Source organism: Homo sapiens, chromosome 7 (assembly GCF_000001405.40).
Source record: "Homo sapiens chromosome 7, GRCh38.p14 Primary Assembly".
Lineage (NCBI taxonomy): Eukaryota > Metazoa > Chordata > Mammalia > Primates > Hominidae > Homo > Homo sapiens.
Genome location: NC_000007.14, coordinates 30,872,225 through 30,896,907, shown reverse-complemented (window position 1 = coordinate 30,896,907; position 24,683 = coordinate 30,872,225). Strand labels below are relative to the sequence as shown.

At 52.9% G+C, this 24,683-nt stretch overlaps 1 protein-coding gene, 1 long non-coding RNA gene and 1 pseudogene across 2 annotated transcripts in view, besides 1 other annotated feature; all 3 read right to left on the bottom strand.

Annotated features, from left to right (window-relative positions):
• Window positions 4,521-24,683, bottom strand: part of INMT-MINDY4 (INMT-MINDY4 readthrough (NMD candidate)) — a 140,253-nt gene continuing 120,090 nt past the window's right edge. The window contains exons 16-20 of the long non-coding RNA NR_037598.1: window positions 24,602-24,665; window positions 21,252-21,413; window positions 14,547-14,727; window positions 13,915-13,987; window positions 4,521-4,951 (exon numbers count right to left, since the gene is read on the bottom strand). This is a non-coding gene — a long non-coding RNA (INMT-MINDY4 readthrough (NMD candidate)). The remainder of the gene's footprint in view (window positions 4,952-13,914; window positions 13,988-14,546; window positions 14,728-21,251; window positions 21,414-24,601; window positions 24,666-24,683) is intronic.
• Window positions 4,521-24,683, bottom strand: part of MINDY4 (MINDY lysine 48 deubiquitinase 4) — a 120,971-nt gene continuing 100,808 nt past the window's right edge. Inside the window, exons 14-18 of the mRNA NM_032222.3 lie at window positions 24,602-24,665; window positions 21,252-21,413; window positions 14,547-14,727; window positions 13,915-13,987; window positions 4,521-4,951 (exon numbers count right to left, since the gene is read on the bottom strand). Coding sequence (NP_115598.2) covers window positions 4,903-4,951; window positions 13,915-13,987; window positions 14,547-14,727; window positions 21,252-21,413; window positions 24,602-24,665 — 529 coding nt within the window. The 3' untranslated portion in view covers window positions 4,521-4,902. The remainder of the gene's footprint in view (window positions 4,952-13,914; window positions 13,988-14,546; window positions 14,728-21,251; window positions 21,414-24,601; window positions 24,666-24,683) is intronic.
• OSBPL9P6 (oxysterol binding protein like 9 pseudogene 6) lies at window positions 6,041-7,808 on the bottom strand (annotated as a pseudogene).
• Window positions 11,963-12,864: an enhancer, noted in NCBI's record as "H3K4me1 hESC enhancer chr7:30923659-30924560 (GRCh37/hg19 assembly coordinates)". NCBI's record gives its function as "activates a minimal SCP1, AML or CMV promoter by ChIP-STARR-seq in primed H9 embryonic stem cells {active_cell/tissue: H9 hESC(primed)}" and the evidence as "EXISTENCE:reporter gene assay evidence [ECO:0000049][PMID:30033119]".

Below are 24,683 nucleotides of genomic sequence, written 5' to 3'. Positions count from 1 at the left end.
GTCGGCTGGGTAATCCAGGAGGGCTTCTTAGAGGAGGGGCCTTGGAGCTGGCCTTGTGGGATGGGTAGGATTTGACAGATGGACATGGGGAGCCAGAGGGCAAGGACCCAGGTGAATCAAAGAACACCAGGGAAGGCTGCAGGCAGCCAGGGGCAGTTTGGGAAGAGGCTGCTGGGGTCTGTGGTGGGTGAGGTGTGGGGCTGGAGGGGGAAGCAAGAGGGGAGGCAAAAGGAGGCAGGTTGGAATCACCCCCACCCCCCATCAGATTTATTCCATCCAGCCCCAAGACCATCTGGTGGTCTGGTCTCCAAGAGACCCCTGTGGAAAAGAAATGCCCAGGAGGACTCTTAACTAATGATTCCTGTCTGGGCCTCGGTTTCCCCATCTGTATGGAGAAGGCCTTCAGTGACTTCTTGGAGGAACAGGACACAAGATAGGTATTTTGTGGGAAGGTGAGCAGGAGAATGGAAGGAAGCGCCGCAGTCTGGGAGATGGCGTAAAAAGGAAGGGCAGGAAAGGCCACCCACAGGCGTTGGTAGCCACTGGCCCTTGACCAGCAGGGTCCTGATCCCTTTCTGTGCATAACAGGTCTGCCGGGAACACACACGCAGACACTATAGCCATGTTCTTCCTGGCCCCTCCCCCACGCACCTATCAGTCCACCCCCTCATGCTGGAGTTTGCATTAAGCAATCTCTATTATCGCAAATGCCTGGCATTTTTGCCTGGTAATTAAAGCTCCCACAGCCCCCATGAGGATTAGTGCATGATTAGGAAGTAGGGCGGACTGTGGTGGGTGGAGAAATACCTGCAAATAGACTTGGCAACCTGACTGCCTCCTGCAAATTTTAGGATCCCCTAAGAGCTCAGTGGCCACGTAAGGATGGTCCACTGGGCCTCCAGTAGCAAAGGCCACTAGCCATCTTTCACTTCCATCCCCTCAATGTGCTCCCAGCCTCTGCCCCACACCCCACTCTCCTGCCAGGGAGAGAGAGGTCTGAAGCAGCACGCTGAGAAGTTCTCCTCTCCCAGGGAAACGTCCCAGCCCCAGACCATTGTCTGAGGCCCTCTCCTGCTCTTTGCCTCCACTCCTACTGCTCTGGGCCTCCCACACTGTGGTCACCCCAGAGGAGACCCGCAGACATCAAGGACTTCCCTGGTCTCTGCTTTCACTGTTCCTCTCAGCTGGAATGATCTTCCATCTACTTCGCCACTTGTTAAAACCCTGCTCATCCTCCAACACCCGGATGAGATACCACCTCCTATCTCACTGGAAGTATTAGGAGCCAACATTTACCGAGTCCTGATGCTGTGCCAGGCCCTGTTCTAAGCACTGCACCATGTAGTAACTCACTTAATCCTCATCCCAGCCCTAGGAGGTTGTAATTCTACAGATGAGGAAACTGAGGCCCAGTGAGCTCGAGTCAAGTGCTCAAGGCCCCAGAGGCAGGAAGCAGGGGAGTCAGGGCTGCACTCAGGCCTGGGATCTGATGCAGCTTCTTCCTCATGTGCCCATGACCGCCTCCCACACATGCCTTCAGTACTTCATTTTGGTGGCTATTTGTGCATTTCACACTGTCTCCCCACAAAATCACAACCTCCAGAGCAGGCTTTAAGTGAAAGCACAGACTCGGATCCCCTAGTTCTGGGCACAGCCTGAGTCCGCATTTCTAAGCCTGGACATCAGGCGGTGCTGCTGCTGCTGGTTTGAAGACAGCACTTTGAGTGGTGAATCCGGACTAGGGCAGAGACGCCCTGCTGTGCCACCCTTGCTTAGCAGAGCCTAGGGTCTGTGGAAGCCTCTCTGAGACTTCACCAGCCCCGGCCCTCACGGCGGGCGGGAGCGCTGCTGCTCCTCTTCCACGGCTGGTGTTCTGGATGGGCTGGGTCCTGCCCCCAACGCTGTGTTCCCTTTGGGCTCAGACATGGAGACCCTGGGGAGCAGTCAGGTGGAGTCTGGACAAAGCTTGCCTTAGTACAGCCTCCAACACCCCTCCAAGCCCTGGCCCAGCTCTGACCCCCAGGGAATTCTTGCAGCTCTGGAAACCGCTCTTCTGACAGGTGCTCCCTCTATGTAGAACTAACAGGGAGAGTGCTGTGAATGATCCTCCCACCACGAGAGAGGATGAAGAAAGTATTGGGCTGGCAGTCGAAGAGGTCGGGGCTAGTGAGGATGTCCCTGGAGAGAAGCATCAGTGTGCTCGGGTCCCTGGGTCCCCTTCCCCTAGCCATGGGGAGCAGAGAGGGTGAATCTCCACTCCTAAAGTCAAGTGAGGGAGGCTTCAAGGAGACTGCCTGAAAGCTTGATTTGTGTCCCCAGGATGTGGGACACTCGCATGGAGTGGGGAAGGTTAAAGGTGAGGAGCTCCCGACAGATGGTGGGGCAGGAGATGGGGTGAGTGGGGAAGGTCTGATCTCCAGGATTTGGGAGGCAATGATATGTTGGTGCTTTGCACAGTTCAAGTGTGGATCCTGCAGAAGGAAGACTCGGGTCTTCCATAAAGGTGGTGGAGGAGAGGTTGGCTCTGGCAGAGGGGCTGGAGAGCTGCCATAGCAGCAGTTGGAGGGGGGATCAGCTGACGTGGGGCAGTCCTTAGCAGTGGGAAGCCCCCTCACAAAAGAGGAGGCCAGCACTTCCTATGTGCTCATCAGAGGGCCCACAGCAACACCCAGCACTGCTGCAGGACAGGTTAAGTAAGACCTTGCTGCCCTGCCCCTCCTCCCTGAAGGAGCCACAGCCAGCTTGGGCATCTGGGGAGGACTCCAAGGGCAAGGTGGAAAGGTGACAAAAGCTAACCACAACTCCCTCTCCCAAAATGACCACTGCAAGGGGAGGGGAAACTTTCACATAATCTGGGCAGCTCTGGACTCTCTGAAGCCCACCCACAGTCTCCCTAGAAAACTCTGCCCCTTGGATGGAGATCGCCCATGGGTGAGGAGTCAGGAGCCTGTATTTCATTCCTGCAGGCTTGGTGGCAGCACCATGGACTTGTCCCAGTGTCTGGGTCTGGGGGAGGGTGGTGCTGGGCTGTGCTCATCTTCCATTCCAGGAAAACCTAGGCAAGGAATAAGAAACTGCACAATGTACCTGGCTTCTAGAGAAGCAGGTTTGTAATTTGTTGGAAATGGTCTTCTCAAGCAACACTGGGAATAGTTTGTTTTCTCCAGTGCTGCCAAAGGGACCTTGGTCAGGAGGTTAAGTGAGTTTCATTGAAAAGACACACTTTTCCTTCCCAGGCTGATAAACAAGGCTGCTGCTGGGAAACCGATTTCCTCTGCCCGGGTGCTCAGCTGGAGCGCCCTATCCCTGGCCAAGGAAAACAAATGCATAAACATTTCAGGGATATATAGGAAGCATTTCTGCTGGAAGCCTGCTGTGAATGGCTGCTGGAGTTTACATAGCAAACCCCACCGGGGCCTCGGCACAGCCTGGACAGAGCAGTCCCTACCCTCCCACTTCCCTCCCAGCCTGATTGGCTCTCCGCCTGCCTCTCCCCAAAGACCAACAGTCAGGCCTCTACACATGCCCCATCCACAAGAACACAAGACAAGTGCTTTTGCTGTCACCACCAAATGCCAGTTTTACCCCTGACATGCCTGGCGTCTAAAATAAAAGGGGTCTCCTGTAGCCAGTACTGCAGAGAGACACAGCTCCTGAGCTGCTTGTGTCCTGAGCCCCAGGCGCACATGGAAGCTGGGGACAAGCTACTGTCCGGTGCTGGTGGCTCTCCTAGGCTTCTCCCTGGGCCAGAGCAGACACAGCAGGGGTGCATCCCCTGGTTCCTGTGCGTACACACCCACCTCTACACAGCCCCCTCACAGTCCCAACTGCAGCACTCACTGGGCACAGACAGGGTGGGGTACAGGGCCGGCAGCCTTCATATGGGCAGCCATGTGACAGAAACCCTGAGAGGCTAGTGCTCTGCCCCTGGGCTCCTGTATCCATCCTGTTCTTGTAAACCACTGCAGAGGAGTCCTTCACTGTGCTTTTCACACAACCTCTCTCCTCACCCCCTTCTTCATCAGCAGGCCACCGCACTTCTGCATGTTCTCATCTTCTTTTTGAAACTGGTGGGATATCAATGAATGGAACAAACAAGGCTCAGACTACTATATCCCCTTCATGAGTGATTATTGCACTTTTCCTATTTCAACTTTGCCATCTTTGTTCTGGAATGTGAGGGCTCCACAGGCTCTGCCCATCCAGATTTTCAGACAGCCCTCTCCCCACATGCTCCCCTACAGGTACCAAGGACCTCACCTAGTCCCCAGTCCCTCTGTTTATCCCTGTCCTATTGTCCCCCCATGGCCAAGAGGTCCCTCCTCCTTGGAAGGCTCTTTTCCCACATCTACTTGGCCAGGTCCAGCTTACCCTCCAGGTCCACCTCCATTCTCCTGGGGCCTCACAAGGGCTCTGGGGCGAATCACCCTACCACATTCTCCATACCAGCCATGATCAGCACAGACAGTGCACATCACGCTCTTTGCAGCTGTAGAACAAATGAGCCTGGGCCCTTGACATGGGTTTGACCCATTTTTATAGAAAGCCAGCTACCAGAAGTAATGAGTCCCCAGGGCCAACCACATTGGAGGCCTGGGTGAGGGACCACCCAGCAGGGAGCAAGGGAGGGATGCAGACAAAGGTAGCAGAGACCCTGGCAACCTCCTTCCAGTACTCAGCAGTCACAGCTCAGCTGGGAGGGGACCCAGCAACACACTGGGTCCCCAGCACAGTCTTGGGTGGGCCCTTCATGGAAGGGGCAGGGAGGCTCTGGATGCTTCTGCAGTCATGCTGACCCAGGTTGGGGTACATGAGACCTGCCCCAGAGGCTTGGGGTTCAGCTGTCATCCTCGGTGATGAGGTGATGAGTGGTGGACCACAGGGTTTACCCACATCCAACGGTCACAGGATGGGGTCTGAGCCGTTCCAGTTCACTGATGCCCCCTTCCACCTAAGCGTAGAGTGAGGAGAGAGACAAAGAGAGATCAAGCTTCAGGGTCCCAGATGAGAGCCCATCTCTTGCCTCCACTTCCTGAAGGTTTTGTCTTGGAGGCTTTGAATAGTTCGGTTTCCATCCTGCTCATCTCACCCCTCCAAATTCACACAAACCCACACACCAGTCTCTTACGAAACACAAATACACCTAGGACCCCAGAGAGCAATGGAGAGGCCAGGCGGCAGGTGATGCATTCTTTTGTGCCACAACCTACTTTGCGCCTGGCACTGCTGGGCCCTCCACTGAGGCCCTCCACTGACATGAATGATCCACACACATCTGGACCAGCCGCTCTCCACTAGGACCCAATGGTTGGCACTTTAGAGGCACCTGTGCAGTCCTAGATATGGCTGAGTGCGAAACAATGGGGACAGAGGGTGGGGAGGGGCCGGGAAGCTGGCAGGAACTTGTAAGGGTTCTGGGCTTTACTGAGAGCCACAGAAAGGTAGTGAATGGCTGTGAGCACTGCAGTAACACGACAGTTTTTTGTTTTGTTTTGTTTTTTAACCTGAAGAAGCACGGAGTATAACTAAATTGTGGTCCAGGGTTAGAGACAACTGAATAACAGTTCAGTTGCAAAACGAAAAGTTACTGTAGGTGAGACCATGACATTTCCTAGCACTTGATTTTAACACATGGTGCTAATTTTCTAAAAACACTCAGAAGAATCAAATTTATAGCAGATGGAGTGTTTACGTAAAATCTGGCACTAGGTATATTATACATATACAGATATCCTAAGACTATATATGAACTAGGAAACAGATGTTGAATATCTCACAGCAGTTCTACAGTGCAGAGTTTGAGGCTGGAATTCATAAATGCTTTTCAAAGTATGAGGTTTGGGCAGGGAACAGACATCTTGTTTTCAAAACCTGAAGATTTTCTTCAATTCTGAAGAAAATCTAACTGCCATGGAGGAAGAAAAAGGGGAAGCTTTTCTCACTTCAACTGAATTGTACATCTACATCCAGAAAGTCGAGGATTCCTGACATTGGAACTGCGATGAGAAGGGTGGGAACAGGTTCTCCCAAAGTAACACAGTTGCATTTTCCAACAGAAGGCTTGGAACCACCAAGAGGTTTCAGTCAATGGTTCATCCTCAACCCACTGTTCCCCATGTTTATGACATAGCCTAAACTTCCACTGAATCTCTTTCTTTCTTTCCTAGGCTTCGGCTCTTTGTCTTTCTTCAAGTCAGTGCTTTCCTTCAATTGCTGCATCAAAGTCTCTAATTTTTAGGTTGAAAGTGTCCCTTCCAAAGGCAGCAAGGTTCATATTCACTCCGTTCTTCCAACTCACTTCCCTCTTGGTATCTGTAAAGACTAAATTTTCCCCTTGCATATTTTGAATACTTTACACCATTCCATTTCCCTTTGAATGAGCAGAAAGATTTCTTGTCATTTGGAGAAAAAAATCTTAATGGCAATTTTGTGCTTCTTGCTCCTATAGAAAGGTTTGGTGTGGAAGTTATTTGCATGCAGCCCATTTGGGAACAATTAATATTGCATTCTCCTCCTAGCTCTGCCCAGGGCACTGTGAGGATAGATCGTGCATACCATCGGGGAATGTAAGGATGTCACGTTCATCCTAGTCTAGACACAAGACGCAGTCCTGCCCTACGTTGTGCTCCCTAGTCAACAACCCAAGAAATTTTGATTTGTCCAAATAGGAACGCTGAATTGTACCTTCTTGTTAAAACACTCGGCATAAAAGGTTGAAACAGGTGGATGCTGGAAAACACGCTCAGCCAGGAATGTTACACTGTTTGGGGCAACTGTGTCCAAAACTTTCTCTGCGTCCTCCTCCGTGTCATTTGGTGATGTTCAGTGATGCTGAAAGATCTCACCCAAAATCAGGTTGTATGGCCTTTTGGCAATCAATCCTTTTCTGCCTGCATGAAAGGCTGAGAGGTACCCTTTTATCACCTGAACCATTTGGTTCCTGGGATCCTTCTGGTCATAAATGCTTAGAAACAGATCTGGATGTGCAAAAATATCTGCATACATTTTTAAAAGATATTTCAAGAATAAATACTGAAAGAACTACCTTGGTGAGATCCATTCCCAGTCTAACCTGTGACAAGAGGTATATGATAACACTTTCATGTTCATCCACAACCCCACCTCCCCTTCATCAATCGTTTTGAAGTGAAAATGCCAGCATCATCACTTACTCCATTGGATGTGGAAGAATTAAGTGCTTCTATGCTATCCAAGTGCTTCAGACTATTTACTGGGCTTCTGTGTGTCAAGCAGATCCAGAGGAGTCTATTGGGTTTTGGGGTTGAGCCACTTTGATGGAATTTATCCATATCAGAGCGTTCATCTTCACTGCTCAAATAAGAGACACTGGTGCCGTATTTGGAGACAAACTGGCTTGGCTTGGTGAAGTCAGACTTCTCCTCGGCAGTGAGTGCCCATTGCTGATACTATTTGGGGGTGGAGTCTGATGATGTCCTATACTGGCTAATATAGGTCCAACCAGCAGGAAAATGGCCACTGCTCTGGCTTATACAACTGAGCAGGTTCTGGAGGTAAGCAGGCTGGGAAGGCATTGTGCTGACCCCAGCTCCTGGGTACTGAGTTCATCTATTACATCTGCTGGGTTAAAAGCACCTTAGCAATCTGCAGCAACACGATGAGCATTTGAGATTTTCAATTTTCTTGTTCTGTTCATCATCTTTGCAGTTTGGAGTGTGTCATTAAAAAGCTTTTATTGTTCTATTAAGATTTGTGGGCAAGCATTGAAATCTTGGACACTAAGGAACACATCCTGAATCCAGACTCCCAGAGGGTGGCAGAAGGGAGGCAGGAAGGAGAGCAACATGCCTGCTCTCAGCCTGGTCCCCAGGCCCCTTCACCCCGCCCCTCTCTATCTTTTCAAGCCTTTACCCTCCCCACTCAGAAAGACTGAAGTACCTCGTATGAGCTCCCAAGTTACAAATTCCTTGAATCCTGGCAAGCTGCTTCAGTGCAGGGGTGAGTCACACTCATCTACCACTAGACAACATCTGTGTCACCACAGTGGCTGAGTCTTACTATCAGGCTGTTGAGTTTGAGCTTGGTTTTGAGGCTTTCTACAGACATAACCAACCCGCTCCATCCAGCCAACAGGGGCAAATGCAGGGAGAGTACTGGAAACACCAGAGGGAAGCAGTTTGCAATTACAATAGAAAATCAAAGCAGAGACATTTTAAAAATTGAAAGGGCTGAGCCATGACGCATGTTGTGCTAGTGTAGGGGACGAATCGAATCGTTCCCCGATTGGAATGGTTCTGAAAGCTTGTGAGTCGATTACAAGGACAAGTAAGAAGGGCTCTGCATATGCAACCAACAACTGCGGACAGGCACAGAAAGGGGAGGGATGAAATGGAAACACCTCTGAGGAGCAGAAGAGACACAATCAAAGTTCCAGACTCATTCATCAGTGCTAATGCAGGAGGCGGCTGACAGCCAGCCAGTTTATAGCCGGGTCTCTCATCCTCGGTACCTAAGGCATTTTGGCTGGGTAATTCTTTGTTGTGGAGACCGTGGTGTGCATTATGAAATGTTTAGCATCCTCTCCCAGGGCTGTGACAACTAAAAATGTCCTCAGACATTGGCAAATAACCCCAGGGGCACACAATTGTCCCGTTGAGACCACTCGCTCCGTAAAAACACCATGGTCCCTGGTGCTCAAGTCAACTTAAAATCACAGAGAAAGGCACTTCATGGTGGAAAATAAGGCCCTGTCCCCCCAGAGGCATCACTGCAACAGAGGGGTGGTTACCTGCCTTAACTGCTTTTCAACGTTGATGGACCCAGTGTTTTTCATGGGGAAAAAGGTGCCTGATAGAGCCTGTGTCAGCCAGGACAAGACAGCAGGCCTGAGTTCAAAGCTCCTGACTGGTAGAAAAGCATCCAGGGACGCCTCTTGTATGCTTTAAATCTCCAGACAAATAGGCCTGTGTGAAAGTTTCCGTTCCCGTGCTCCAGCCATTCGGAATGAGGAGCAGCTCTAGGATGAGCCACGTGGGTATCCCTCACCCCTGGGCCTTAACCCCTGCTGGGCCCTGCCCAGTCCGCCATCCTGCAGGATCAGATCCAGATTCCTCTTTGCAGAAGTGTTCTCTGACTGCCACCCGCGGGTCCCCGTCAGCACCCAGGCCAGGCTCCAAGGCAAAGCTGGTTTAACCAGTGCCTGCAGCCTGGGCTCCAGGTGGAGGTGGCAGGTGGGGGTGCTGCTGCATGAACACGACCCCCACCAGGCCAGCTGTTCCTCCTGGACGCCTGCTTAGGGAGTGGCCCCGCCCTCCCAGGCACTCAGCAGGGAAACCATGGTCCTCGCTGGCTCACGCTTCAAAGCCCTGCCTTGCACTCTCCTCTCTGCCTGCTCCTGAGCCCTGGCCCAACTTGCCACCACCTGATTCCTCCTCCTCCCCAACGCATGCCCAGAGGCCATTGTGGCTCACAGGAAAGGCAGTGCTTCCACAGCTCTTCTCTCAACCTCACAGCAGCTCAGGAGAGGGATCCTTAGACCCCAGGGACAGATGGGGAAACTAAGGCTGGGAGCAGAACCAGACCTTCTGGAGCTCACACAGCTTGATGACTGCAGAGCCAGCACAGGGCAGGTGTGTGTGGGGGGCAGGGCATCAGAAGAGGGCTGGCATGGACAGTGGGGAGTGACAGCGCCCAGAGAATGCTCCTCCGATGGGTGGGAGGCACTGTGGACAGGGAGCCTGGGCAAAATGGTCAGCATGGAAGCTGAACGGGAGGTTCCGCAGGGAGTGGGGGTAGCTGAGGGAGGCGGGGGCTCTGCCTCTGCCCCTCGAAGGCATCATACCCAGCTGGAATTACATTTTCAATTTCTTGTCTGCACCTCCGAACAGAAACATCTGTGCCCCAGCCCCAGGCTCCGGTTATGAGTTCTTTCCTCTTTTCTCTGGACTGTTGACAACCGTTTCATTTTTCTCACTCTAGCCAGGCTGGAAGCATGAGAGAGGTCACTGTGTGTGTCTCGTTTGGAAATGACCATAATAAATTAGCCTGTTTTTTTGCTGAGATGGTTACAGTATAACAGTGGGAGGGGGCAGGGGACAGATCCCACATTCCTGACACAAGCAAAGGTAACAGGAGACTCTCTCAGGCCGAGGTTTGCGTCACAGCAAAGCGCAGAGACACATGGGGTCTGGGATGGTTTGAATTAGGATGCTCTTCTCTGAAGGCGAAACCAGCAGTCTGGGCTTGTGCAATGTCACCGAGGCAACAAAGCCAGGTGGTGGGAAGTCACTGCCCACTAAGTGACCTTCCAATGGGCTGGGACAGCAAAAGCGTAAGCCACAGTCCTTGGAGCTTGTGACTCAAAGTGTGGCTGGGACACGGACCTCCATTCTGGAGGCCCCCATCTCCCTGTCTGTAAAAGAAGAGGTGATAACAGGGGGTGCCCAAAGGCCTTTCTGTAGAGCCAAGCAAGCTGCCAGACAGCCAGCTGTGTGGCTTGGGGGTTCTTGCAGGGCAACAGAGCTGGGTTTAAGGGTGGGTGGTGCATCTTTCCCTGGACTGGTAACAGGGTTGATTCCAAACTTGACTTTTGGCTGATGGCAAACTCTCTGAGAGCAGGAGCCAAGTCTTACTCAGCTGTTTCTTCCATGGTGTCCAGCCCAGGGGTTCTATGAGGGTTGACCTGATGTGGGGGAATTCTACCTGCCCACCAGACTGGCCTACCCTGCAGCCCCACCTACCGAGCAAGATGGACAAGATGCTGTGGGCACACAGCTGCATCTTATCAGGAGCTTGGGCTCTCACTGCAGCCTTTGAAATGACCTGAGCTCATGCCACGATGTCACGTGTATCCCCTTCCTGACACGGTGGGGCCTTCCTACAGACAGCAGGACTTACCCCTAAGCCTGCTGTTTCCCACTGCAGTGGTATGTCACCTGGTGGGTATGGGGGCAGTGTTCCCACTCACCACTCACCCACTCAGCTTTTCTAGGAACAACTGCCAAGGTGGACCCACCATGATGGGGGATTGATGGGGGAAGTGGAACAGGCAGGCAGCTGGTGTCAGCAAAGTTCTCGCAGACATGGAACACAGACCTGGGGATGAGGGGATAGCTAATGGAGCCAGGAAGAAGGTTCCCCTGGCCCAGTGCCTATGGCGGGCCAGAGAATCAATGCCTCACTTGATACCCAACTCTCACAAGGCAGCAGGGTTGGGGGGGGGGTGGGCACTGCCCTTACCTGGTTCTCAAAGTGTGGTCCTGGGACCAGCAGCATCAGCATCACTGGAGGACTCCTTAAAAATGCAAATTATTGGGCCCTACCCTGGACCTACTGAATAAAAAGCTCAGAAACCCTTGGTGTGGGGCACGGCGCTTTGTGTTTTTTGGTTTTGGGTTTTTTGTTTGTTTGTTTTTTTGAGACGGAGTTTCCCTCTTGTTGCCCAGGCTGGCGTGCAATGGCATGATCTCAGCTCACTGCAATCTTCGCCTCCCAGGTTCAAGCGATTCTCCTGCCTCAGCCTCCCAAGTAGCTGAGATTATAGGCGTGTGCCACCATGCCCGGCTAATTTTTAATAGAGATGGGGTGTCTCCATGTTGGTTAGGCTGGTCTCAAACTCCCGACCTCAGGTGATCTGCCCGTCTCGGCCTTCCAAAGTGCTGGGATTATAGGTGGTGATCTGTGTTTTAACATATTCTCCAGGTGACTCTGATGCCCCTGAAGCTTGAAGGCCACTGCTCTGGAGCAAACTTTCCCCAAGCATGAGCCACAAATGCATATGGGCTCCTCTTAGCCCCTGTGTGCTACACAAATAGAATTATTTTCCATGCATGACTGCTCAAGGAGATGGTGGGGCTCAGCCTTGTCCAAGCTCACACAACACTAAGCAGATGTGAGGGCAGAGAAGGGCAGGGCCCTGGCCCAAATCATGCAGCCTCTCTGCTTCCCACATAACCTCACTGTCACCTGCTTGCAAGTGAACAAGGGGCAGGGGAAGGAAGTTTTGGGAGATGAAGGCAGCCAATAGAAGAGGAAGAGGAGGTTCAGGCCCGTGTCCACACACTAAGACTCTCACTCTGCATGGACTAAGCTCCATGCAGACCAAGGCCCCAGGTCGATCTCAAACAATTGTCAATTAGAGCTGAGCCCAAGAAGTCCAATCCTGGGCCCACGCTGGGAGGTGCTTGGTGAGTCATGCAGTGGAATAATTTCTGGAGAAAAAGGAGTTACTCCAGAAGAGGCAGTGGAGAGGTTTCAGGTGGTGGGCCACCCCCTGGGAGGGGTAGAGAGACACAGAGTCAGACGGAGGCCTTCAGAGAGGGTCCCAGGAGTCCAGAGGCAAGCTGCGGCTGTGTCCAGGGTGTTGGAGCCCTGCTCAACAGGCCCACCTGCAGGAAGGATGCCCTGTGGCCTCCCACGCTGTCCTGTACAGATGCCAAGGCTAGTGTCACCTCCTGTCCCCACTGCTGCCTTTCTCTCATCATTTTGAATGAGTGGCCCTTTGTACATGAAAGGAAAGCGACCTGCAGGTGCCCTTAATCCTCCCGACGAAAGAAGCACCAGCACATGACCCTGCAAGAATGCTTCATCCCTGGCTCAGGGGGCGGGCAGGTGGATGGACGAACGGATGGACGGACGGACGGACAAAGCATGTCGAGGATGTCTCGGCGCTCCTCCCATTTCCCCTTCCTGGTGTTTCCACCATGTGAACATTTCTCTTTCTCTGCAGCTCCTCTCAAGGGCTCGCTTTCCTGTGGTGGGCATCAACCCTAAGCTTGCTGTGCCCCCTGGATCTCAGGCAGTAAGCATTGCAGGGCCTCACCATTTTGCATCCCCCGTCACAACCCCAACCATTTCACAGGCAGAGAAATGGAGATTCTCTGAGATCACACCAAATCAGGAGTGGCTGAGGTCATCATCGTGAGCACAAACACCATGGAGCACTTAGTAACGTCCCAGACACTCTTCACAAGGTCCAGTGAGAAAGGTATGCATCACCCCCATTTTACAGATGACAAAGTGGGGTGCAGGAAGGTGAGGTCCAGTGGCTCACACCAAGAAGCAGCAACACCAGGGCTGGAACCCAGGCGACTTCTCTCCAGAGCCCACACTCATAAAGGTTACCAGTTCCACTGCTCCCCCAGAAGGGACCAGGATCCAGGCCTCTCCCTCCCGGGCTGCTCCTCTCATGCACGCTGAGGCCTCTGGGTCATGCCCCAAGGGCTTTGTGAAGGGCCTGCCGGGGCAAGGGGAGCACTTCTGACAGCTACCGCACCACCAGCCCAGGGGCCCACTCAGAGAACACAGCAAGGAGGTGAGCCCCAACTCACCCCAGTTACTGAACATTCCCCTCCCCTGGCCTGAGCCTCAGCCTCCCCTTAAATACAGAGGGGCTGGGTCAGAGGAGTTGAAGCTCCCACCTGCCTCTGAGGCCAGAGGCACACTGCTCAGTGTTCAGAGTGGCGGAGCTGCTCCTCCGGCTCCTCCGCAAGCAGAGGGTGTCGCTCCAGGCAGCACCTCCTGCCACCCCCAGGCTGGGCCAGGCCTCCCAGCTTCCTATCCTGCTCAAGCCTCCCCCACCCTCAGGTAAGCACCCCTGTCCTGCCTCCTTCGGGCCTAACGGTACTTGCCACATCTGGCTGCTGCTGCCTTGAGGGAGGAGGGGCTTCAAGAGGTGCCCATTTAGCCCCCACCCCCAACCATGAAGGCAGTCTCAGAAGCTGTCTAAAGACGCATCACCACTGCAGACCACACACTCCTGAACCTGGGCCCCAGTGACCACGAGTGGAGAAACCTGTGTCTTTCCAATCACCACACCTCTTTGAATCAGGGTGGTCCAGGAACCTATCTGCCTTCCTGCAGGCCTGACCACCCCCAACCATGGCTCCTCAAAGCTATTCAGGGTGAGGCTCAAAGCCAGAGAGGGGCTTGACTCACTTGGTTCTGATGCAGAGCTCGAGGGGTGGGACAAGGTCGTTGTCTGTGTCCTCAGAGATGGTTTGGGTGGTGTCTGGGAAGGAGGAGAGAGGCACACACATGTCACCCAGGGCCCTGCACTCACCCTGAGGTCAGCGCTGACCACTCCCGAGACCCGCCCCCTTCTAGTCCCTGTCCCCTCCTCTCCATCTCAACTGGACCCACCCTCATCCCTGACATCCATTCTCACCTGCACAACTCACTGGTCCCCACCCGTGTCCCACTTTAGCTACCACAATACTCTTTCTAAAAACACTTCTGATCTCACCACCCTGATTCCAAAACCTTCCATGGCTCGCCACTGCCTGAAGAATACATCCAAACTTGTCAGCATAGTATTCAGGGCTCTTTACCATGTGGTGTAGGCTTTACCCAACGCCCTTAATGCCACTCACTGCTCAAGGCCCAGCTCTGGCCGCCTCCTGCAGGGAGGCCCTGCTGGCATTGGCTCTCTGATCCCCCAGTCTGGATGCTGGAGTCTGCACTGCTCTCTGTCATGGGGGTTGGTGGTGGATAGGAAGGCTGGTTTCTGTGACCAGCCTGGAGGCTCCTTGGGGACAGGGTTGGGTGGGTGGGGGGGTGAGGGCCCGCACCAATGGTCAGCCGGATCTGCTCCTGCTGGTTGGCCAGGCCATCGTAGTAGTACAAGTCAAAGAGCCTCTCAGTCCTCCAGTCACGCAGGAGCCCCGGCTGCAGGCTAAAGAGGATGCTGAAGTGGCTCTCACTGCAAACCACCCAGATGGGGAACCTCGGGGTCTTCAGGAAGCAGCCAACCTGGATGAGGGAGAGGCCTGATGTGAAATGCCGTCCCCAGGGAAAGGGGTCCGGGCATTTTTCTGTCTGACTCAAGGCAGGGCTGACCTCAGAGAGGCCCTGCTGAAGATCACGTTTGTGTCTGATGCTGGGAGCCCCTCACGCTGCTCAGGCCACTGGGCTGTTTCCCAGGGCCATCCCTGCCCTGCCACCCCACCTGCTGCTGCTCGCAGGGCCTCTGCCATACAGACCTGAGACCCGGTATCACTCGCCCCCTCATCCCCCACATCTAATGGTTCCCAGTACTGCTCATTCTGCATCCAAGAGCTCCCCCACTGCCAGCCTTTCCTCCTGAGATCTACTCAGCCTCCAACCTGCACCACGGCAGTGACCTCCTAACCAATTCTTCCCACACCCCTCAAACAAATTCAGCTTGTCCACTAGCCTAGAGCTTGCTTACCGTTGGACAGCCTGCATCTCCCAAATCCCTTGTTGGAGCAGAAATAGTTTCCTCCTTCCAGTTCCCAGGGAGCACATCACTAGGTGCCCACCCACCTCAGCCGCAGCACCTCTGCCTCATGCTCGACAGATCATACCCTTAAGTTCCAGGAGCCCGGGGTAAGTAAATGTCGGGTGAATGAAATTCCTCATGGATGAAGCAGGACTTGAACTAGAACTGCACGGTAAAGACAACTAGGAATGGAGCCCTGGGGAGCCAGGAGGGAAAGGTCTGAGTGAGAAGTCTGTGGGGGTGCCAGGAATGGAGGGACAGAGAAATTCAGGGTGCAGCAGGGCACTGAGGTTGCAGCAACACTTGGATAAGGAGCATTCCAAGCAGGGGAATTTCACATGGTGGAAGTGTTTGTGGAAGAAGACACAGAGGAATAAGCACCAGGGCCCTCAGCACGTTGCTAGCATCTTGACTACAATGGGAAGAGAAGTGACAAGGGCCCCCTGTGAAGCCCCTGAATGCCTGGCCTCCATGCACTTTCCCCCAGCCCCTGACACTTCTTGGCCAGCGCCTCTCCTGACCCTGGGCCCTGGTTTATCCAGCTATGTACGTGCCACGGGCCAGGCTGATTCTGGCCTAATCCCTACCAGCCCCAGGGAGATGTTTGCATGCTCAGGTATTTACAGCTACAGCCTGTGGATTAAAGAAAGAATGGGAATTATTTTTCCAGTGGGGAGAAGGGCATACTTTTTCCAGAACCCTTTACAGGAGAGTGGGTGAGCAGCTCCCATCTTGATCTGGGATGTCTCTGACAGAGGGGCTGTGCTCTGAAGGTCCTGAACCAGGTCCCCAGTGAAATTCCTGCACATTTAAAGCTGCCTCCTCCAGAAGGTAGGGGGACAGTCTTTACAACGCACTCATCCTTTCTTACGGTTCAAGTGTCCCCTCCCCCCACACCGAAGCCTCACCCCAGCCCTGTGTGCCATTGAAGTGGACTGCAGAGCTCATTCCTTAGTGAAGTGTGGGGGAATTAGATGTCTTACAGGACGTGGCTGGACGTGCCTAAACCCCACGTAAACTTGGCTTCCATTCCATGCTTCAAAGAGGCTTTTCTGGTGAGGGCATCGCCAGGAACAGGGAACCCTGACACAGGGACCCAGCATTCATTCACGGCAGGGAGAGAGTCCCAAAGCCAACCAGGGAGCAGGCCTTTGCATAATCAGCCACCCTGAATTTTCCAACGGAGAGACAAAAGTGCAGCTTGCCATGCAGAAGTAACAGTCGAGAGATTAAGGGAAAAAAGCTGCCCACAGACTTTATAAATGAGTTTCCTCATTCAGGAGCCTCTTTCCAAGTGGGTGACATTTTCCAGAGATGAAATTCACTTCCTTTAAATTCTTGGGTAACCAAAGGCTTGGGGCAAGGCCGCAGTCGGGGGTGGGGGGGGGTGCGGGGGAGGGCCACATTTCCTACAGCACAGTCTGGGACTTTGTCCTGGTGGGGGAACATGTAGCACAATTAGGGATTACTTAATCTTCTAGGGCGGGGGTTGTGAATGGCCTAAAGCCATCCATGGACAGCCAGGTTAGAAGCACTCACTTCAAAGGGTCAGCATTTACTTGCGTAGAGTTATGGTGTGGCATTTCTAAGGAACAGCAATGGGGACATAGTGCTAGAGACAATAAGAACAGTGCTGTCCTTATGGAGCTTACCAGATTGATGGGGATGACACATTAATTAAATAATCAAACCCACACATTTCCACTGCACTTCAGTGAATCCAGGATGCCCTCAGATTCGCCATTATTTTTTGTATCACTAAGTAAGAAAAAGCAGGTGTGTCAAAGTCTGACACACCATCAACTGTAACAATGCATCAGAATTTCAGAAGTGCTCAAATGTGGGCAAGTTTGCATCTTAAAGGCGATGAAATGCGATGCTTAAAATCCAGAGGAGGCCCTATGAAGGAAAGAATTAAGATACCCTGATGGTGATTGACAAGGTATGGAGGGGACAATGAGAAGGACCCCCTACTTAGATGGGGTTATGAGGGCAGGAAAGGCTGCCTTTTAGGAAGTAACGTTTAAGTCAAAACGATAACAGGGAAAAGCTGGGCAGGTGGAGGGTGCAGCGTGCACAAAGGCCAGGAGGTGGGAGAGAGCCCGAGAGAAGCCCCAGCCTGCGGGAGAGAGTGGTGCGGGCTGAGGTGGGAGAGGAAGGCAGGTGCAGGTCTGGCAGGGCATTGGGGGTGGTGAGAAGTTTTGGATTTTAGTTTCTGCATTAGTCTGCTCGGGCTGCCATAACAAATACCACGGACTGGATGGCTCAGACAGCAGACATTTATTATCTCAGAGTTCCGGAAGCTGGAGGTCTGAGATGTCACTAGGGTTGTTTCTGAAGGCCGTGCCCCTGAGCTTGTAGATGGTTGCCTTCTCCGTACCTTCAGAAGGACTTCCTGCTGTGTGATCTGTGTCCTAACCTCCTCTGCTTAGGAGGATACCAGCCATACTGGATTGGGACCCACCCTAGTGACCTCATTTTACCTTAATCATTTCCTTAAAGGCCCTTTCTCCAAATACAGTTATTAATACATTCTGAGGTACTGGGGGTCAGCGTTTCAACACAGGAATTTTGGGGAGACATAGTTCAGCTCACAACAGTCTCAGAGGACTGGAAAACCACTGAGGGTCCAGAGAAAAGGAATGATATGATTGTGTGTATATTTTTAAAGATCACACTGGTTTCAGTGAAGGGACAGGATTGGAAAGGGGGAAAGCGATGGGGACAGGAGCTGAATTTGGCTAGGCTGTCACAGGTGTCAAAATCAGCGATGCTGGTGGCTCTGACCTGGTGAAAGTGGATGGGCTTGAGAAACAACTTCAGGGGGAGGCACATGTCCTCCTGATGGAGAGGACGTGCTCCTGGTTGAGTAAATGGGTGGATGGTGGCCATCTCTGAGCTGGGGAGGATGGGAGGAGGATGGAGCTTTCAGAACTCTTGCCCGTCAAGCTGTTTTCCTTTGTGGGTCCCTTCATGAAGATGGCAATGAACATGCCTCGCAGGTCATGAAAGAAGTGCTGAGGCTAAACTCCCTGTCCCACCCCATCCCTCCTGGACTGTCAGTCCCCCATCACCACCATGACCATCAGCCTGGAGGGGCTTGGCCTCCAACTGCAGCCTAGAATGCAGTCCACCCCTTACCGGTGAGCCTTGTCCTGGGCCAGGTGTGGGACTGAGGGAGCCAGCTGGAAGTCAGATGGGCAAGACCAGCTGGTGGGGTCACAGATAGCCCATGGAGGTCCGGCAGGACACAGCCAGGCCGGACCAGTTACTTATGGCAGGGGGTGAGTTTCTCCAGCTCAGAGTTTCATCTGTTTACCCCAGGTACACCCTGAGTATGGGTCATCTGGGTAGCTCACTTTTAGGTAGGACCTCCTCCTCCCACATACCCAGTGAGGGCCCCAGAACCCCAGGCTGCAGTGAGAAGCCTGGAGACAAGCTGCAAGTGAGAGGCTTCACCTGCTAGTGAGTGAACGCTGCGGACGTCATGGCCCAGGCTGTTCCAAATGCCAGTCTTCCCACGGCTGTGTCTGTGCTGCCTGAGGAGAGGGCCAGGCCAGGCCAGAGCAAGGGCCCTGGCTCTGAGTCCAGGTCCAGGCTTGGGTGCTGGACCCCCTTGGACTCCTTCTATGTCCAATGTGGCTAACTGTGTAGGGCCCGAGGGACTTGGGGACAGAAGGGATGGAAGGTGGTGTTAAAGAAGAGGGAAGGGGCCAGGCGCAGTGGCTCACACCTGTAACCCTAGCACTTTGTAAGGCTGAGGTGGGTGGATCACTTGAGGTCAGGAGTTCAAGACCAGCCTGGCCAATATGGTGAAACCCCATCTCTACTTAAAAAAAAAAAAAAAAAAAAAAAAAAAAAAAAAAAAGCATGTCCCTGTAATCCCAGCTACTCAGGAGGCTGAGGCAGAAGAATTGCTTGAACAGAGGAGGCAGAGGTTGCAGTGAGCTGAGATCACTCCAGCATGGGTGACAGAGTGAGACCTTGTCTCAAAAAAAAAAAAAAAAGAAGAAGAAGAAGAAGAAGAAGAGGGAAGGGCTTTGTCTGAGCTGCTGGGCCCTGAGTCTTCAGTGGAAGGCAGGGGTTGAGGCCCAGCCCTCGGTGAGCTCATGGAGGAGGAGAGGAGGCCAGGGCTCCTTCCTTAGTGAGCTTGCAGTTGCAAGGCAGAGGAAGGAAGCATCCACCTACCGCAGGGAAACAAAACTCCCAGTCCTCAGCTGAGCACAGAACAGCAGAGGGTCTATGCGGATCCAAGAAGCCCACGAGGAGGGGAGATGGTTGTAGGGCCTGAATTTCTTCAATTTTATTACAAGGGAAGGATGACCCCAACTGGTTTTCCCATCAAGTACCCTCCACAGACCACAGGAAAATAGTTTACTCTCTGACCAACGCCCTCGACCCAAGAATGAAACCAGAGCTCATGGTGAGCCTGGGAATTCCATGAGCCTAGCCAAGGTTGCCTCTCTTGGCCCATGGAATTTTGAGCTGAATACTTTCAGAGCACACCCAGGATCCGGTGCTCGAGAGCCCTGGTGCTTCTCACCAGCCACATTCCTGGGCTCCCTCCTAACACCAGCACAGCCAGGAAGCAGCTACTCTCATTCTTTTTTCCCGCAAGTCTTTGGGACCCAGAAGTCTGCTTTTGGCATGCTGGGGGTATCATCCAGAGAGGGGATCTGGGGAGGGGGCTGCACCACATGGGTCATTAGCAAGACACAGCACACCCCAACATGTGGTCATGTGGGAAGGGTGGGTAAAACTGAGCCCTGGCTTAAAACCCTAGTCTTTTTCCACCCTGAAAATCCAGGGTGGAATCGCCTGGCGCTATCTGCAAGGCCCTGCTGAGTCAATCTCTGCGTCCTGGTTCTGAGGATAGGTGGTGAATGAGGCCTCATCCGGACCCTCCAAGAATCTTTGCAGGGGGTGGCCACTGTGAAAAGCACTCCTGCTGCCCCTCAGGACAACCTTTCCCATTTAATCAACCACAGAACAATGGACTCTCTGAAGCCATGGAAAGCAATGCTCAGAAAAATGTTCCATGGCAGCTGGAACAAGAAGGCAGGGTCCAGTGCTCCTCTGCCCAGCCCCCTCAGCACCTGGCCACATTCTCCAGAGGTACAGTCACCCATGCCCTATCCAGCTTTACCTGGGGGCCCAGCCCTTTCTGAGCCCCTGGCTGCAGTGACACAGGATGCAGAGGGACCACATGCCAACAAACAGGATGTGTGAGGCCTACTATGGGTTGAACTGTGCCTCCAAAAAGATGTGTTGAATCCTAGCCCCCAGTACCTCAGAATGTGACTGCATTTGGACACAGGGTTGTTGCAGGCATAATTAGTTAAGACGAGGTCATACTGGAGTACGGTGGGCCCTTAATCCAATATGACTGAGGTCTGTATAAGAAAAGACACAAAGGGAGAAGGTGGCCCTGTGATGATGGATGGAGGCAGAGACTGGAGTGATACATCTACAGAAGCATCACTATATGGTCGAGGAATGCCAAGGATTGCCAGAAAACACCGAGAGCTAGAAGAGACAAGGAAGGATTCTCCTTATGGGTTTCAGAGGGAGCATGGCCTTTCTGACACCTTGATCTTGGACTTCCAGCCTCCAGAACTGTGAGACAGTTAAGTTTCTGTTGTTTCAAGCCACCCAGTCTGTGGTACTTTGTTAGGCAGCACTAGGAAACTAACACGAGGCCTAAGACCTCAAGTTCCTGTCCCTTGAGAAGGCTCCCCCACCACACAGACACCAGCTGCAGCCACTGTGACCCACAATCACGGCAGAAATCCCTCGAAGTCCTTTTCAAACCATCTTCCCCAGAACACGGTATCAGCTGGCTTTGGGTCTGAATTATAGGCCTGTAGCCACAGCAGAGAAGCTGTACTTCTTCCCAAGCCCTCTGTGATTCTAACTGGACCCGAATTTCAGCCAGCTCTGAGAAGTGGAGTCCAGCTTTCCTTCCCCACTTCCCTCCTCATTGCTCCAGAGAGTCAGGCTCCCCTACTTGTGGTGAACGTGAGCATCTGGGTACCTGGCACATGTTGTAATGCTCAAAGAGAGATAAGAAGCCAATATCACTGCGTGCAGCAATGCCTCTGAGAAGTGTGATGTTCCCATCCCCAGAATCCAGCTCAACCACATCGTTGAAAACGTTGGACACAGCTTTCCCAGTCAGGAGCAGATTGACAAGTTCCTGCAGATGAGAGAAAGGGGAAAGACTCATCAAGTCTGAATCAGTTACTGAAAGAGTGGAGAGGAGACTGGGGAAAGACAAAAAGGGTGGAGAAGGAAGGAAAGCAAGGAGGGAGAGAGCCTGAGAGCAGAGGAGGCTGTGACTTCAATTCTCCCACAAGTCCTGTGGGAAAGGCACCAACTTTTCTCATCAAGGTAACTCCAGGCACCCATCCACCTTTATTCCACAAGCACTCCTTGAGTACCAACCATTCACAGGACCCTGTCCTATGCTGCAGGCTACTGGGGGCACTGGTGAGAGGGTGAGACATGGCTCTTGACATGTGCTTTGGGTCTAGACTGTGGAGTCAGGTGCATGTCTGCACATTGACTCAATGCAGGATGTGGCTGGGGCTGTAAAAATGTGTGCATGGAGTATTCTGGAGCCAGATGAACACGAGGCCACATGACTGAGTCAGGGCAGCTTTAAGGAGAAGTGACATTTGGGTGAGTCTTAAACGATGTTATTTTTTAAAGAAACCTTTTTATTTTGAAATAATTTTAGATTCAAAAGAAGTTGTAAAAATAGTACAGAGAGTTCCTGTGTACCCTTCACCCAGCTTCCCCCAACGATAACATCTTACATAACCAGAGCCCATTATCTCAACCAGGAAACTGACCATGGTGCAGTACCAATAACTAAACTCCAGGCCTTGTTTGAACTTCATTAGTGACGGTGGGGTTTTAACAGGGCAGGGAAAGCCGAGGAAGGTACTTCAGTAGGCAGCAAGAACAGAAGCAGAGAGGTGGGAGTAGGAAGCCCAAGTATGAGTTCTAGCTCTGCTTCTGCTGTTGTCTTGCTACGTGGCATGAGGCATTGGGTGGTCCTGTGACTCAAGCTACACACCTGGCAAGCCAACAAGCATGCCAACCCTGGAACTTGGAGAAAGTGACGTGTGGAGCAACATTCCTCCAGCAGTCACCTGCAACCCATGCCTCCCACATTTTGGTGTACCAACAAGGCTGGAAGGTCCCTTCCTTATGCAGGATAACCAAGGATCCAACCTCCTCTTAGGAATGGAGAAACTGGGGCTCACAGGTGGGTTACTCAAGCCACACAGCCCATTAGGGCCAGAGCTGAGCTTCCACCCACATCTGGTTCTCTCTGTCCCATGTGACTTCCCTCTTCCCCCAACCCTGTTACTTTCATGGTACTATCTGCCTGGGCACAGATTCAAGATGAAGGGTGGCCTCTAAGGGCCTACTGAGGAGGAATTTGAGCGAGCCCAGCCCCAGCACTAGGGCAGGCAGGTCTCTCTGTCTCATCCACCTTCTGCCACAGCTGGCGCTGCCTGTGACACAAGAAGGCAGGCATCACTCCCACAGTGGAGCACGTAGGAATGGCCAGAACGGCCCTTGACCAGTGTAAACTCTGGAGGGTAGAGTTTATAGAGGTGTTTTCGCCTGAATCGTTAAAATGACATCGGGGGTTAATAAATCCCTCAGTTAACACCAATACCCCTGCCCCAGTGACAGTAAAAGAGGCCTCCTCTGATGGCCGCAGAGGGACCCCCACTGGAGGGAGATACCAAAGGGGACTTATTGTGTCCTTGTAGAGGAAATGAGACACAAGAATTTGGAGGAAATGTCTGCTGTAAAATAATGCACGTCAGGGGCAGCAGCTGCTGAGAAAGGCACAGCCTTTTTCAGGCAAGTTCGAGTTTTCCCATCTGGTTTTTCAAGAGGGATAAAAGCCCCTGCTCCCTGATCTGTGTCTAAAATCTTCCTCATAGCAGGAAGCCTTCTTGAGATGGTGAAGAAGGGGCATCAGGCCTCTCCCTGCTCCTAGACTCCAAAGTCACACAATGGCAAAGCTTAGCAGTCCCTTTCTACTCAGTGTGGTCCATGGACCAGCAGAATCGCCCTCCCTGGGGAGCCTGATAGAAATTGAGAATCTTAGGCCCCAGCCCAGACCCACTGAATCTGAGCCTGCTCTTCAACAAGACCCCTAGGGGATTCATTCAAAGTGTAAGCAGCCCTGTTCCAGTCCAAATGCCTCTTGTACAAATGAGGAAACTGACACACAGGAGGGGAAAAAGACTGCCCCAGCTCATATTGTGAGTGAAACAGAGAACAGGGCTTGGGACCCAGCCCCAGACTCTGATCTGGGTTCCTCTGCACCCTGCTTGACTGCCCACACCTGGGCAGCATCCTTCTCTGCCCCAGAAAAGGGAAAGCTCCCATGGGGCAGGCAGATGCCTGGAGTGAGAGTGAGGCCACCCCGGGCAGCCAGAAGAGTAGCCACTCCCCGTGAGGCCTTCCTCTAGGGTGGTGGGCAGCAGCCAACCCCACGGTCCCTCTGTGGGTGCCCTGGACAAACCACAGGCCCCAAGCTTGCCTTGTATGGTGCCCACGTAGGTTTCCAGAGCTGGGCGCAAGTGAGCCAGGACCCCCAGGACAACTGAGTCCTCAGTTGGGCCCAGAAGATGTGCAGCTCTGTCCAGCCCGTCCATGCTACGCATTGTGGCCCCCCATGTGCTGAGAGCCAGATTTCACTGTGGCCTGTGTGGCCACTCTGGGAGGCCTCATCATGGGGAGAAAGGCATGGATAGAAGCCAGGTGTAGAGCTGAGCTCCCAGTTTTGATGCTCACTAGGTAACATCTTGAAAAGGTCCCTTCCCTGGTGTCACCTGGGTGACTGAGAGGACTGATGACAAGCAACTGTGCTCAGGGTCTTCTTTGCCCCTGTGAGGTCCATTGAGGGCCCCTCTGTAAAGATGCAAAGGGAAGGGTGGCTATAAAGACAATACCTTGTGCAAACATAGAAGAGGCCAGGGCCATCATCTCCCCAGCTGGACCCAGGGTCCCCTGGCCCATGCCTGAGACATCACTCCCTGTGTCCTGGGCTCCGGGCTGTGTAGCACTTTGGTCTGAGTTCAGCCTCTTTTGCATCCTCTGCAGCTCTGAGCACATACATCAGTGCACATAAAGCTGTCCAGAAACAGAAGCTAAACTGAGCTCTCTTTCTGGGTCTCCATGACATGACAGTGAAACCCAGCAGAGGTGGGCACGTGAAAGCTGCTTGAAGAGTGTTGGCAGAGGCAAGAAAGACTTGTCTTTTTCTGGGGCAAGAGGAGGGAGGAGGACCTCTCCCTCTCTGAGGGACAGAGGAGGGGGAAGGACCACCTGGGCCCCACAGCGCCCCCTGACCTGTGTACAGTAGCCATGTGCTCCAATCAGGTGGCTGGTGGGGACATCAAAGTCCTGGCGGATGCTGGAAAACACAAGAAGC